General features: G+C 45.2%; 1 protein-coding gene and 1 pseudogene across 3 annotated transcripts in view, besides 4 other annotated features; one reads left to right on the top strand and one right to left on the bottom strand.

The window, feature by feature from the left end:
• Positions 3,121 to 3,170: an enhancer, noted in NCBI's record as "active region_22444". NCBI's record gives its function as "activates an Ori minimal core promoter by ATAC-STARR-seq in GM12878 lymphoblastoid cells {active_cell/tissue: GM12878}" and the evidence as "EXISTENCE:reporter gene assay evidence [ECO:0000049][PMID:35858748]".
• Positions 3,261 to 4,050: a silencer, noted in NCBI's record as "silent region_15956". NCBI's record gives its function as "represses an Ori minimal core promoter by ATAC-STARR-seq in GM12878 lymphoblastoid cells {active_cell/tissue: GM12878}" and the evidence as "EXISTENCE:reporter gene assay evidence [ECO:0000049][PMID:35858748]".
• MTMR12 (myotubularin related protein 12) overlaps positions 3,589 to 15,170 on the top strand; it is an 85,933-nt gene continuing 74,351 nt past the window's right edge. For all 3 annotated transcript variants that reach the window (NM_001294344.2, NM_001294343.2, NM_001040446.3), the window contains exon 1: positions 3,589 to 3,770. In NM_001294344.2, coding sequence (NP_001281273.1) covers positions 3,690 to 3,770 — 81 coding nt within the window. In that variant the 5' untranslated portion in view covers positions 3,589 to 3,689. The remainder of the gene's footprint in view (positions 3,771 to 15,170) is intronic.
• Positions 4,121 to 4,260: a silencer, noted in NCBI's record as "silent region_15955". NCBI's record gives its function as "represses an Ori minimal core promoter by ATAC-STARR-seq in GM12878 lymphoblastoid cells {active_cell/tissue: GM12878}" and the evidence as "EXISTENCE:reporter gene assay evidence [ECO:0000049][PMID:35858748]".
• Positions 6,386 to 6,546: a silencer, noted in NCBI's record as "fragment chr5:32310088-32310248 (GRCh37/hg19 assembly coordinates)". NCBI's record gives its function as "represses an EF-1alpha promoter that drives an FKBP-Casp9 reporter gene in an ReSE screen in phorbol 12-myristate 13-acetate-treated (for megakaryocytic differentiation) K562 erythroleukemia cells {active_cell/tissue: K562(+PMA)}" and the evidence as "EXISTENCE:reporter gene assay evidence [ECO:0000049][PMID:32094911]".
• On the bottom strand, positions 6,761 to 6,866 carry RNU6-378P (RNA, U6 small nuclear 378, pseudogene; annotated as a pseudogene).

The raw sequence follows: 15,170 nt of genomic DNA, 5'->3' as shown, positions 1-15,170 counted from the left end.
TCAGCCATCCAAGTAGCTGAGATTGGGACTACAGGTGCACACCACCATGCCAGGCTAATTCTTTGTATTTTTTGTAGAGACTGAGTCTCCCTATGTTGCCCGGTCTGGCTTCAAACTCCTGGACTCAAGTGATCTGCCTGCTTTGACCTCCCAAAGTGCTGAGATTACAGGTGTAATCCCACTGCACCCGGCCTCCAAGCCTTCTTAAGTATGAGATTCTGTGTGACTGCACTAGTTTCATGTCCAAAGAAGCCAGCCTTGGACATAGTCACATTTACTAACAACTATGGTGAAAGGTCATGGAAATTCAAAATACTTTGAAAAGTAAGAAAGGAAACATTTTCTCAGTGTCTAAAAATCTGCCCTGCCATTCTACTTCGAAAAGTGAAGACTGCTGCAAAATATAATGATATTAGTCTTGACAAAGAAAAGTATTCTTTAACACTCCCATGAAGAATATCTTTTTTTATGAAGCCTTACTTTGTAACTATAATAGGTTTGTTGCCCAATGCACTGGACAAGTCAATACACCAAGGCACCAGGTTACAGCAGTGAAAGAGGTTTAATTGTAGGGCTGCTGGATGAGGAGACAGGAGGAAACCTCAAATTCATCTCCCTGAGGAGTCAAGGAGTTTGGGGCTAGGGTTTTTTTGCGGGGGGATGGTTTTTGAGACAGGATTTTGCTTTGTCACCTAGGCTGGAGTGCAGTGACCTATCAGTTCACTGTAACCTCAAACTCCTGGGCTCAAACAATCTTTCCACCTCAACCTCCTGAGTACCTTGTACTACAGGCTTGCACCACCATGCCTGACTAATTTTTTAATGTTTCATAGAGACAGGGCCTCACTATATTGTCTGGGCTGGTCTTGAACTCCTGAACTCAAGTGAGCCTCCTACTTTGGCCTTTAAAAGTGCTGGGATTACAGGTGTGAGCTACTGCACCCTGCCTGGGGCTAGGGTATTTAAGGGTTTTGAAGTGGACCAAAGTGTGGAGATCATCAATTGGTTGAAAAGTGCAGGGTAAAGTCATGAGACAGAGAGATGAAGAAATTGTATTCTCGCACTGATTCGGTTCCTGTGTGTGTGTGGGTGTGTGTGTGTGTGTGTGTGTGTGTGTGTTGGGGCGGGGGCGGTCTTTAAACTGGTTGATGTCGGCTGTTCTGCTGGAACGTAGGATCTGCCTAAGCAATTCTTAAATAAAACCCTTATGATTCCAGAGCCAGAAATCCTACCTATTGAAACAACAGGGATGCAAATGGTCAGTACCTAGTGTTACCTGAAGTTATTAATACAAAGAAGCAGGCCGAACTGCAGCCTGATTAATGCTTAGTTATAACTCTATTTTTGTGCAGAATTCTTCTCAACCTTGTAAGGATGGCCTCAACTTGGACTCCCCAAATAGAATTGACCACACTTTCATTGTGCTCCTTTCTAATTTGTATAATTATAATGTTAAGAACTTGGGATTTCGAATGAGACAAACCCGGGTTGAAATCCCAGCTCTCTCAGTGACTAGTTGTGAGACCTGGGCAAATTACTTGCATCTCTGTTTTGTCACCTGGAAACTGGGATAAGGAAACTCAGAGGCGGCTGCAGCACAGCTATACCAAATATTGGCTTACAGGTGGCAATCTAGCTGGAAACGGAGCTGCAGGACTTGCGTTGAAACTATGTTTGCAAAAGCAAGCACATTTGTTTTCACTAAGATTTTATATTTACTTGGAGTGTATTTGGGAAGGGGGAGCACATGGAGATTAAGAGGGTAAAAATCAAGGTCACCAATGAGAGTACTTAGCACAGTGCCTGACGCCTAAAAAATTAACTGCAAATATTTATGTTTTTTTCCACTAGATTGAATTTCTTAAGAGCTGGATTCTATCTTATTTATCTGCAACTAACAACGCTTGGCACCAAATGTAGAACTGAAATGAATTTTCTTTGCAATCTTGACTAAAAAATGAGGGTTTTATCAATAACTTCGTAGAGTAAATAGAAGTCTCTTAAGGGCTCTTGATATTCTTCCTGTTGGAAACACAAAGAAGGGAAAGGTTTGGAAAAATGAAGTTGACAAAGTCTTTTATTATCAAACGCTCAAACTTATTCCTCACTGCCTTGTTAACACTTGATTTGACACTTTTTTTTTTCTGTTTGAGACACAGTCTTGCTCTGCCACCCAGGCTGGAGTGCAGTGGCGCGATCCTGGCTCACTGCAACCTTGGTTCAAGCGATTCTCGTGCCTCAGCCTCCCGAGTAGCTGGGATTACAGGCGCCCGCCACCACACCAGGCTAATTTTTGTATTTTTAGTAGAGATAGGGTTTCTCCATGTTGGCCAGGCTGGTCTCAAACTCCTGACTTCAGATGATCCACCCGCCTCGGCCTCCCAAAGTGCTGGGATTAGAGGCGTGAGTCATCGTTTGTCTCATTTTTGTTTACATTTAAAATAATAAACCTTGAGGTCGGGCGCGGTGGCTCACGCCTGTAATCCCAGCACTTCGGGAGGCCGAAGCGGGTGGATCATCTGAAGTCAGGAGTTTGAGACCAGCCTGGCCAACATGGTGAAACCCCCGTCTCCATTAAAAATACAAAAATTAGCGGCATGGCGCGGTGGCTCATGCCTCTAATCCCAACACTTTGGGAGGCTGAGGCGGGCGGATCACGAGGTTAGGGGTTTGAGACTAGCCTGGCCAACATGGTGAAACCCCGTCTCTACTAAAAATACAAAAATTAGCCGGGTGTGATGGCAGGCGCCTATAATCCCAGCTACTCGGGAGGCTGAGGCAGGAGAATCGCTTGAACCTGGGAGGCAGAGGTTGCAGTGAGCCTATACTACGCCATTGCACTCAAGCCTGGGCGACAGAACGACACACACACACACACACACACACACACACAAAATTAGCTGGATATAGTGGCGGGCGCCTGTAATCCCAGCTACTCAGGAGGCTGAGGCAAGAGAATCGCTTGAACCTGGGAGACGGAGGTTGCAATGAGCAGAGATCGCGCCATTGCACTCCAGCCTGGGCGACAAGAGCAAAACTCCGTCTCAAAAGTAAATAATAATAAAATAAAAAACCTTGAACGTCATCGCTGTAAGTTGGGAACTCCTATAGCAAGATTCCATACATCCCATTTTTGGACGTTTTATTCCAAAGACACAAGCAAACGGAAGAAAACGACTGCCGTGAACCCCTGCTAACGACAACTTGGTGACTGCAGGATCATTGGACGACGGTTTTATCCTCGCCATCCAATCGTTGGAAAGTCCGGAGAGAACGCTCTCTGGATTGGTTGGAGGAAACATCTCTCCAAGTGCACTCAAGAATGGGTTGGGAGCGGGGTTCGGCCGGCAGCGCCTCGGGCCAATCAGAGAAAGCATGAGGGCGGGCTCTGCCGCAGGAAGGTGGTGAATCTCGGCGGGTCAAACTCTCCTGACGTGATGGGGGGGCGTGGCCTCCAGTTGCGGTCTCCCGGCTCTCTGGGCCCGCGCACGGGATGGGCGGGGCCCACGGGCCTGGGCGGGGCGAGCGGTGTCAGCGGCGGAGCCGGATGCGGGCGGCATCGCGGCGGTCGCGGCCTTGGGGATGGGCGGAGCCCCAGCCGCTAGTGCTGGTGGCCGCCGCTGCTGCCCCAGCTGGAGCCCGAGCCGCCGCCTCTGCGTCCGCGCGTCGCTGCTTCCCAGGGCGGCGGTATGCTGGGGAAAGGAGTAGTCGGCGGTGGCGGCGGCACCAAGGCCCCCAAGCCCTCCTTCGTGTCGTACGTACGCCCTGAGGTGAGGGGGCGCCGCGCAGGCGGGGCGTCGGGCAGGGGCGGCCGGGGCGAGGGGCGCCGGGAGCCCCTTCCTTGCAGCGGGGAGCGCCGCGGAGCGCTTCCTGCCCTTGTGCCGGGCGACGGGGCAGCCAGGCGGGCTGAGGCCGCAGGAGCGCGCTGGGGCCTCCGCGCGGGCCGGAATGGGGACCCCGGCGCAGGCAGGCAGGTGCCTGAGCGCAGGGCCCGAGCGCTGGAGGCTGGTGGAGGGGCCCGAGCCGAGAAGGGATTGCGGCCCGGAACGCCCCTGGGGATTCTGGAGAGGACCTGGGGTTGTGGGCACTGCTGGGAGGGGTAGGGCCGTGGGTCGGAGCCCCCAACGGGGCCTGCTCGGAGCCCGCGTGGGTCCGTCCTGCCTCTGGACTTTCTCAGTGAGCCCAGAAGCCCGCCGGCCTCCGCTGCCTGCGTCTGAGTGCCTCGGGTGCGGCTGGCGGGATGCCCTGCACCTACGTCCGCCTCCCGTCAGCGCTGCGGGGAGAAAAGGGGGTCGGCCTGGCCTCAGCCAGTCTCTGCTTGTCTCTCCCTTGGGAATTCTCCGCTGTCGCTTCTTTCTCCTCATCCCCTCACCATCATCCTTTCCACCCACTTCTTACTCTTCTGAATCTTCAGGTCAAGAAATTTGTTCATTCATTCAGAAAATACTTCTCGAGCTCCTACTGTGTGTCAGGCACTAAGTGCTTGTGATAGACATCAGTGAACAGGACAGAGATCTCTGCATTCCTGGAGCTTATTTGAGGGGGAAAGGAGAAACGGGGTGAATTATAGATAATTAAGTAAATTATACGGTGTAGTAGGAGGTGATAAATATCATGGGAAAGAAAAGAAATCTTTTTCCTCCTCGCAAAGGTGGCATTTGAGCCGAGACTTGAAGATACGAGAGGTCTGAGAGAAGAGTCGTCCAGGTAGAGGGAACAGCCCCCGGGAAGGTCGTGAGGTGGGAGTGTGTCTGAAGGGTTGGCGGAGCGTCAAGGAAGCCAGCATGGCAGAGGCCCATGGACAAGGGGGACAGTCATAGGAGAGGAGGTTAGAGAGATCAGAACTTGTAGGCCTTGCTCAGGGCTTCTTGAGCAATAGTTCTTAATCCAAATGCCTAATGAGAAGCCTTCTTGTTTTGCATCTGTAAAGGTTTTTTTCTGCCCTTCTCTCCAGCAGAAGTGCAGAAGCACCGCCAAATTTGTTGCAGATGTCTTCCCACCTCTGTAATGCAGAAGCACGTGGGCTGTGGATGAGAGATCTGATCAGGGACTGCTTCCGTAAAGACCACCTGGGGCCTGAGGCATTTGCATATGTATCTTTAAATTCAAGATATGTGTGTTTTCTCCAGGGGAAAGTGCTCTTAAAATGGGTCTTATTTTTAGTCCTAGTTGTAAAATACAAACCATTTCCTCTGTTAGCACTTGATGTGGAGTCAGGGTCATCTTAAAGTTTCAGCGGGCTTCCCTTGTGGTATCACATTTAAGCAATGTGGTCAATTTCTCTTTGTGTCTTTTTAAAACATTTAAACATTTAAAAAATTTTTGTGGGTATAGTAGGTGTATATATTTAATGGGATACATGAAATATTTGGGCTGGGCATGGTGGCTGACACCTGTAATCCCAGCACTTTGGGCCGGCTGAGGTGGGTGGATCACCTGAGGTCAGAAGTTGGAGACCAGCCTGGCCAACATGGTGAAACCCTAAAATTAGCCAGGCATGGTGGTGCGCACCTGTAATCCCAGCTACTTGGGAGGCTGAGGCAGGAGAATCGCTTGAACCCAGGAGGCAGAGGTTGCAGTGAGCCGAGATCGCGCCACTGCACTACAGCTTGGGCGACAGAGCGAGACTCCATCTCAAAAAAAAAAAAAAGAAAGAAATCTTTGGATACAGGCATACAATGCATGAATGGGGTATCCATCACTGCAAGCATTTATCCTTCCTTTGTGTTACACACTATCCAATTATACTCTTTAAGTTATTATAAAATATACAATTATTGTTGACTGTAGTCACCCTGTTGTGCTATCACTTACTAGATCTTATTCTAACTGTGTTTTTGTACCCATTAAACATCCCCACTTCCCTTTCCCCTGCTACCCTTCCCAGCTTTTGGTAACCATCATTCTGTCTCCATGAGTTCAAATGTTTTAATTTTTAGCTCCCACAAATAAGTGAGGACGTGCAAAGTTTGTCTTTCTGCGCCTGGCGTAGTTCACTTAACATAATGACCTCCAGTTCTGTTCATTGTTACAAATGACAGGATCTTATTCTTTTTTATGGCTGAATAGTACTCGTGTGTATGTACCACATTTTCTTTATCTATTCATTTGTTGATGATGGACACTTTGGTTGCTTCCAAATCTTGGCTGTGGTGAATAGTGTTGTAATAAACATGGGAGTGCAGATTTCTCTTCCATGTACTGATTTCCTTTCTTCCTTTTTTAGAGACAGGATCTTGCTTTGTCGCTTAGGTTGAAGTACAGTGGCGTGATCACAGCTCACTGTAGCCTCCACCTCCTGTACTCAAGCCATTTTCCCAAGTAGCTGGGACTACAGGTGCATGCCAGAGCACCTGGCTAATTTTAAAATTTTTAGTAGAGGTGATGTCTTGCTGTCTTTGCCCAGGCTGCTCTCAAACTCCTGGGCTCAAGCAATCCTCCTGCCTCAGCCTCCCAAAGTGCTGGGATTGTAGGCGTAAGCCACCGTGCCTGGCCCTGATTTCCTTTCTTTTGGGTGTATACCTAGCAGTGGGCTTGCCGGATCATATGGTGGCTCTATTTTTAGTTTTTGAGGAACCTCCGTACTGTTCTCCACAGTGGTTGTATTGATTTACGTTCCCACCAACAGCGTATGAAGGTTCCCTTCTCTCCACATCCTTACTAGCATTTGTTATTGCTTATCTTTTTTGGATATAAGCCATTTTAACTGGGATGAGATGATATCTCATACTTTTTTTTTTTAACATTTAAGGGTTTGTTAAAAATATGAAACGCTTCACGAATTTGCATGTCATCCTTGCGCAGGGGCCATGCTAATCTTCTCTGTGTCCTTCCAATTTTAGTATATGTGATGCTGAAGCGAGCACTCATTGTAGTTTTGATTTGTATTTCTCTGGTGATCAATGATGTTAAGCACGTTTTCATGTACCTTTTTTTGCCATTTGTATATCTTCTTTTGAGAAATGTCTTTCAGATCTTGTCTCCATTTTTAGGTGGATTATTAGATTTTTTCCTATTGAGTTGTTTGAGCTTCTTACATATTCTTGTTATCCCCTGTCAGATAGATGGTTTGTAAATATTTTCTCTCATTCAGTGGGTTATCTCTTCATTTTGTTGATAGTTTCCTTTGCTGTGAGGAAGCTTTTTAACTTGATGTGATCCCATTTGTCCATTTTTGCTTTGGTTGCCTATGCTTGTCGGGTATTCTTTATGTCTTTTTTTGATAGAACCCTGGTTGAAGTGCAACTGATCTTTAAACTTTTCTCTTCAGGGAAATTAAACTACAAGTGGAAAGTCTTCTGAAATGTGGCCAGAGTTCAAGAATGTTCAAATTCTTCGTCCACCAAGTGCACATGTTGTAATTAGACATGTTTCCCTCTTTGCCCACAGTGCCTGATGTATTTCCTTTGAGGGATAATTAGGGAAGGGGAGTGGTTCAGTCTAAAATAAGCCTGAAGTGGTCACATTTTTCAGATCCTTATAGTTGGCAGCTTTGTTTTCTTGCATTAAAATAATGCTGTGCAGACACTATGCCTCGTTGTTGTAGTCTGACTCTAAACATGTTTTGTAACAGAGGATAAGGCTCTGTCCTAAATTGTGGATGGTTTTTTAAAAGATAAGGGTAAGGCCGGGCGTGGTGGCTCACGCCTGTAATCCCAGCACTTTGGGAGGCCGAGGTGGGTGGATCATGAGGCCAAGAGATCCAGACTATCCTGGCCAACATGGTGAAACCCCGTCTCTACTAAAAATACAAAAATTACCTGGGCGTGGTGGTGTGTGCCTGTAGTTAGTCCCAGTTACTCGGGAGGCTCAGGCAGGAGAATCCCTTGAACCCAGGAGGCAGAGGTTGCAGTGAGCCAAGATCACGCCACTGCATTTCAGCCTGGCGACAGAGTGAGACTCCATCTCAAAAAAAAAAAGAAGATAAAGGTAGGAAGGGGTGAGAAGGCAATGTATTTTTAAGTATATAGGTTTTGCCAGGTAATCATATTACGGGAAATGCAGGTGAGCAACATCGAGGCATGGCTTATGTGCTTCTGAGAGCCCTGGGTCTGGTAACCTTCTCTTGGCTTACCCAGTGGGAGGAGTTCCTCAGGACACTCTTCTGAACTGTTCTCTCCTATTTCCTACACTGCTTTCCCTCATGTTGCCTTTCTCTGAACTGCCTTGGTGTATGTCATGCTGTTGCTTCTTTCTTTTTTTTTTTGAGATGGAGCCTCGTTCTGTCACCCAGGCTGGAGTGCAGTGGCATGAACTTGGCTCACTGCAACCTCCGCCTCCCAGGTTCAGGCGATTCTCCTGCCTCAGCCTCCTGAGTAGCTGGGACTACAGGCGTGCACCACCACACCCAGCTAATGTTTGTATTTTTAGTAGAGATGGGGTTTCACCATATTGGCCAGGCTGGTCTCGAACTCCTGACCTCGTGACCCGCCCACCTTGGCCAACCAAAGTGCTGGGATTACAGGCGTGAGCCACCCCACCCAGCCAACTGTTGCTTATTTCTTCATATGGGTTTTGGTAGCTGGGAAATCTCAGTTTCTTAGACACCTGTTTGTTGGTAGATGACTGAGCTGCCAGAACAACCTTTATACCTTATGATGTAATGATACCTGTACCTGGTGATAAGCTTGTTCTTGGCTAATCAGATAGGTTCAGCAGTGGTGGCCTTCAGTATGCCAGAGAATCTGTCAAGAGTCAGCACTTTGTGGTGGAAACAAAAGTGCTTAACTGGATAAAGTATTTTAAGATTATGCTTTTAAACACGGTGAGCTTATTTTTTTTTCCTCATGATCAGAAAGGACTGGCATCGGACAGCGTAAAATGAGGACGAGTAGTTAACTCTGACTTTTAAAATTGGATTGCTGCCAGAGTAAAATGGATTCTTCTATCCTTGATTATTCTAAATCAGTGAATGTGACAGTTAAAACCATAATTTTGTATATAGGACCATAATTTTGGACCTTTGATTATGTTTTGAAAACTCTGCTCAGGGGATTACATGTTGGTAAAGCTAGTTAAGTGGGCAGCTGATGGCTCTGAAAGTTGAGATGAATAGGAGGGAGGGATCTGGGGCCATCTTGATGGTACCTGATGGCTGGTACCTAAAAACATCGCAGCACCCCCACCCCAGCCCAGCCCCAGACACAGGGTGCAAAGGATGTCGGTGCCTCTGTCGGGGGACCTGCTGGGTGCTGAGCTCTGCTCTAGGGAGGGATATGGTTATAGTTTGGGTACCAAATCCATCTTTCTTGTTAAATAAAACACCTGTTTGAATTATTTCAGAAGCCATAAGCATTCTTTGTAGAAAAATAAAGGTACAGATAAGCGAAAACATTTTTTAAAGAACGATTATAAACATAAACAACTCGGAGTGTATTCTGTACACTTCAAGCAGATATATGTGTAGGTATATATATATTTTAACCAAATTGGGATTAATATTGCTGATCATATTTTGTAATCTGCCTTTTTCACCAAAAATGTATATTGTAAACATCTTTCCATGTCAGTTGCTATCCCACAATGTCATTAAAATTAGACCTTTGAAACTGGCCAGGCAAAATTTAGCTTTCAGAGGGTGGCTGTACTTGTACCCATTTTGTGGGTACAAGGGCTAAAATATACTTTCTAAGAGTTTAGGTCAGTGTTTGACCTGAATGAACTAATAATAGTTAACGGGCACTTATTTGTGGATTTTTAGCTTTGGAAGAGAATTTAAAGATAATATACTCTGCCTCCATTATACTCATCCTCCATCATACAGATGTGCAAACTGAGGCCCTGTAAAGTTTAATATCTTGCCCACGGACACAGTGTTATTGCAGAACAGAGATAAAAACTCTCTCCTACTAGCCAGCAGTGCCAGTGCTAAACCAGGGTCACATGAGCTCAGGAAAGGTTTTATTTACATGTGGGAAGAAAAGTCAAGAGAGATGAAGATTGAGAAGAGTAAAAAATATATATATATGGTGTTAATAGCTATTTTTTTATTTTTTCATTTATCCCTCAGGAAAAAATGTATTCTGTTGCCTAGTTCTTATTTAAGGCCATTTCTTTTGGTCAGGAGAAGTGAATATATGATCCTGTAGTCTTCCCAGAGATATGACTGTGGGTATATACAAAATGAAAATGAATAATTACTAGTATTTATTAGGCACTTCTGTGTTCCAGGAACTACGCATATCTCATTTTCCCCTTTCAACAAGTTTCATGAAGGGAATACTATTATTACCCATCTTTTTTGTTTTTAGATATGGAAACTGAGACTCAGAAGTTGAGTACCTTGTTTAGGGTCATGGAGTTTGTCCCAGGGTTTAAACTAGAGCAGTCTGATCTCGGGGCCCATTCTCTTATTCTTACATTTATGAATGTAAGGAATATTACTAGTGAAACATGCTTATATCATGATTAGCCTTTGTACACTAGAGTACTTCCTTAGTAGTGTTCTCTAGTAGCAATTTCTTTTTTGGCTTTTGCTAGATTGTCAACCAGGTAACTGCTGAGCAGATACAGGGATCTCTTGGTTGTTTTCATCTCTAGAGCTGGTGTTTTTGAAAGATAGAATTAATTAGTTCAGCACATATTTACTCAGCACTTGCGGTATCCCAGATTTTTTTTTTTTTTTGAGACGGAGTTTCACTCTTGTTGCCCAGGCTGGAGTGCAATGGCGCAATCTCGGCTCACCACAGCCTCCGCCTCCCGGGTTCAAGCAATTCTCCTGCCTCAGCCTCCCGAGTAGCTGGGATTAGAGGCATGCACCACTACACTCTGCTAATTTTGTATTTTTAGTAGAGACAGGATTTCTCCACGTTGGTCAGGCTGGTCTCGAACTCCCAACCTCAGGTGATCCACCTGCCTTGGCCTCCCAAAGTGCTGGGATTACAGGCGTGAGCCATCGCGCCCGGCCGCGGTATCCCAGATATTGTTCTAGGTATTGAGTGGGGATACATCAGTTTGCAGAAAAGATGAAATTATTGGGATGATTTTTATTGGACCACTAACTTTGATGTCTTTGGCGGATAGATGATAACAAGAAGAGATTGGCTTGTCTTAAACAGACCTCCTGCCTTAGTCCTAGCGGTAAAGATAACTTTAAAAACAAAGTCTAGATCCTTTGCCTTCTTTTTTTAAGAATTCATAACCTGGCCAGGAGCGGTGGCTCACACGTAGTCTCATCACTTTGGGAGGCCGAGGTGGGTGGATCACAAGGTCAGGAGTTTGAGACCAGCCTGGCCAATATGGTGAAACCCCATCTCTACTAAAAATACAAAAATTAGCCGGGCGTGGTAGCGAACGCCTGTAATTCCAGCTACTCAGGAGGCTGAGGCAGGAGAATCTCTTGAACCGAGGAGGCAGAGGTTGCAGTGAGCCAAGATCGCGCCACTGCATTCCAGCCTGGGCGACAGAGCAAGACCCCGTCTCAAAAAAAAAGAAAGAATTCATAGCCTTTTCTCCATTCTCAACTAATTTTTTAAAATCTCCCAGAACTCACCCAGCTAATTTCTTAATTGCAGAATTTTCTCTTTGAGCGTGGAGGTCATTGGTAGGCCATCAGAAGACATTAAAGGTCTCTCCAGAGATGGTCACTTTCTTAGCTGTGGCTTTAGCCCGATGATCTGTCCAAAGCTTCTGCTTTTTCTCTCCTGCCCGTGCTTCCTGCAGCATCTCCCTGAGTCTTATCCAACACCACACAACTTCTGCAGATGGAGCCTCAGAAAGCATCATGAGGCTCTGTCAAGCAGCACTTCCTGCAGCCTGATCAAACAGCTGCCACATGGACAGCCACTGTCTAAGAGCACATACTTCTGCACCCTACTTCTAGCTCGAACGTTAAAATCAGGGCTACCATCAGAATTTTAGGCTGTGGGGACCCCACACTTAGAAGTTTAAAGTTCTGGATCTTTCTCTAAACATCTTAAACAGGATGTTGGGTGTTCTTCCACATTAAACCACCCTATGTGATGGTGTGCTTTGGAGAAAATTCCATTATCATAAGGGCTAAAAAACTTCCTATTGCTACAAAAAAATGTATACCTTATTATGATAAAGACAATATAGTAAAGTTGCAGAGTTTGGAAGTTAGAAAAATAAAAGTGCCAATGATGGTACCTTAACCAAAGCAATGATTCCATTTATAAGTATGTCTGTGTTTTGTTCGTGAGTGTGTATCTCATATGGTTGCATTTCTTTTCTTTTCTTTTTTTTTTTGGAGACGGAGTCTCACTCTGTCTCCCAGGCTGAGGTGTAATGGCGCGATCTTGGCTCACTGCAACCTCTGCCTCCTGGGTTCAAGCGATTCTCCTGCCTCAGCCTCCCGAGTAGCTGGGACTACAGGCACGTGCCACCACGCCTGGCTGATTTTTGCATTTTTAGTAGAGACAGGGTTTCACTGTGTTAGTCGGGATGGTCTTGATCTCCTGACCTTGTGATCCGCCCGCCTCGGCTCCCAAAGTGCTGGGATTACAGGCGTGAGCTACTGCGCCCGGCCTATGGTTGCATTTGTAATTGTGTAAAAATTTATAGCCTACATGTGGTTGTCATGTGTGAAGATATTATGCTTGATCCATATTGGTAGATTATATAGGTTAAGTTTTTCCAGTAAATACCCACTCTCAGTTTCTCATCAAGTTGTGCTTGTGACTTCTGATGTGTTGTGGTTTTTTTTTTTTTTTTTTTTTTTTGAGATGGCAAAGAGGGCAGTGAGTTTGTAGCCATTGACAAGAGAACATGCAGGTTCTGAAAAGGGCTCAAGCTGAGATCTTGGCTTTGTTAGGATGATGCCCACGGTAGCCACCTGTGGGGGCCTACATGAGGTTTATAAAAAAGCAGTGGTAGACATCCCTGGTAGATGGAGTTTTGATCAACTACAAATTCAGCAACATTGATAAGCCAAAGTTGTCTCAGCCTAGCACCATGAGTTTATTCTCACTGAATCAAGTTTATGATGGATGAGTGCTATGTAAACGTCTTCTAAGCTTTCAAAATGAATCATTTGAAATAAACCTCTTGAGATTGGGAGGCAGGATTGAACTGAAATAATTCTTTTAATCTCTAATCTCCTGTTGGCTTTGGGAGGAGGAATAGGGGAGGTGGAAATAGAGAGGGATTCTGGGGGGGAGTACAGTGCTGGGAGAGATGGAAAGGCCTCAGGGCCTCACCCTTCCTTTATTCCCCTTTGCTTACCTCCCGTATCGCAACTCTAAGGAAAGCAAGAGCTTGTCAGTAGCTCTTCATACTAGCTGTAATGCCAGTTCCTTTAAGCTTCAGTTATATTTCTACCTCGAAAATGGGAATAATGATATGTCCATGTTATATAATAGACATGTATGAACATTTATTAATATCAAATGCCATTATGCATGTAAAGCCCCTAGCACAGGATACTTAGATGTAGTTAACCTTTAAGAGATGTGGGCCATTATTGTTGTTATTCAGAAGTTTCGTCAGAGCCACTTGGATGGCTTCAGAAAGTGCTTAATCATTAATCTTAAGAGTGCATAAATCTTTCCCAGCTAAGGTATTAATAAAAGGGGAGTATTTTGTTGTGATTGTTGCCATGTTGTCATGCCAGGAAAGTTCCTTGTGTGGTAACTCTTTCTTAGAAAATTTTTTGCTATCTCTAAAAGTTTCTTTTCCTTGTTCCTTTATACATTTGCGAATGATTTGGTTATATTTAAAATTCCAATGTAATGAGAACACTTAGTTATTGACTTTTTTCATTATTAACATTTGGCCTTTGACATTTTGCTAGTTTCATTGTGTGGACTTATTTTTCTTCCCTCTTCCCTAATTTTTTTTTTTTTTTTATACGGAGTCTTGCTCTGTCGCCTGGGCTGGAGTGCAGAGTGCATTGGCATGATCTTGGCTCACTGCAACCTCCGCCTGCCGGGTTCAAGCGATTCGCCTGCCTCAGCCTCCCAAGTAGCTGGGATTACAGGCTCGTGCCACCATGCCTGGCTAATTTTTGTATTTTTGGTGGAGACGGGGTTTCACCATGTTGGTCAGGCTGGTCTCGAACTCCTGACCTTGTGATCTACCCACCTCGGCTTCCCAAAGTGCTGGGATTACAGGCGTGAGCCACCGTACCCAGCCCCTCTTTCCTAATTTCTAATGGTCTCTCTTCAAAGGTTAAATTTTGTCCATTTATCACATCTCTTTAGTGGTTCATTTAAGATATGAGTAAATCAAATCAAGTAAAATCATAACTAGCATAAATAAAATCAAATTGTCTCTGAAACTAATACTCTCTTTATTTCAAAGGCAGTTGTAAAACCATGCTGTTTTGATTTCATATTTAAATGCTTTTCCTAAAATAATAGCCATCACTTTTCCCTCTCGTACCCTGTCCTTCATTTCCTATAGGCCTGGCTGGTGCACAGGCTTTCAGAGGTGGCATGCAAAACCTCAGTTGTTTTGGGAAGGGAGGGATTTCAGCCGTAAGATAGGGCTTATGTATAAGTGGGGGCAAGGGAAGCCCTGGCCACAGTGATGAAATATGTTGAAGATGACCTTCCTCTTGTGACAGATTGCCAGCTCCTGTTTCAGACAATGTTTTTTGTTTTTTGTTTTTGTTTTTGTTTTTTTGCTTTTGCTAAGAGTTTTTTTGTTTGTTTTTTATTTTTTGTTTATTTTTATTTTTATTATTATTTTTTGAGATGGAGTAGTCTCTGTCACCCAGGCTGGAGTGCTGTGGCACAATCTCTGCCTCCCAGTTTCAAGCGATTCTTGTGGTATCTCAGCCTCCTGAGTAGCTAGGGTTACAGGGGTGTGCCACCATGCCCGGTTAATTTTTGTATTTTTAGTAGAGACAGGGTTTCGCCATGTTGGCCAGACTGGTCTCAAACTCCTACCCTCAGGTGATCCACCCACCTCGGCCCCCCAAAGTGCTGGGATTACAGGCATGAGCCACTGCGCCCAGCCTTTGCTAAGAGTATTGAAGTATTTGAGAACACTTGAAGTGAATGAGTCCTGTTTTTCAAATAAAAAAATCTATGTTCCTCCAAACATAAAATTGAATCCCTTGAGATCAACTTCCCAATGTGTCCCTGTCCTTGGAAGAAGTAATGATTCTCTTTCACTCTTGGTCTCCCCGTGAATATTTGCCTCCTGTCTATGCAAACCACTGGGAATAGCACTTTCCCTAGGGGGTCAGTCAGTCTGTGGTATTGGGT

This window comes from Homo sapiens, chromosome 5, assembly GCF_000001405.40.
Source record: "Homo sapiens chromosome 5, GRCh38.p14 Primary Assembly".
Taxonomy (NCBI): Eukaryota; Metazoa; Chordata; class Mammalia; order Primates; family Hominidae; genus Homo; species Homo sapiens.
This window is presented reverse-complemented; position numbering and strand designations above follow the sequence as displayed.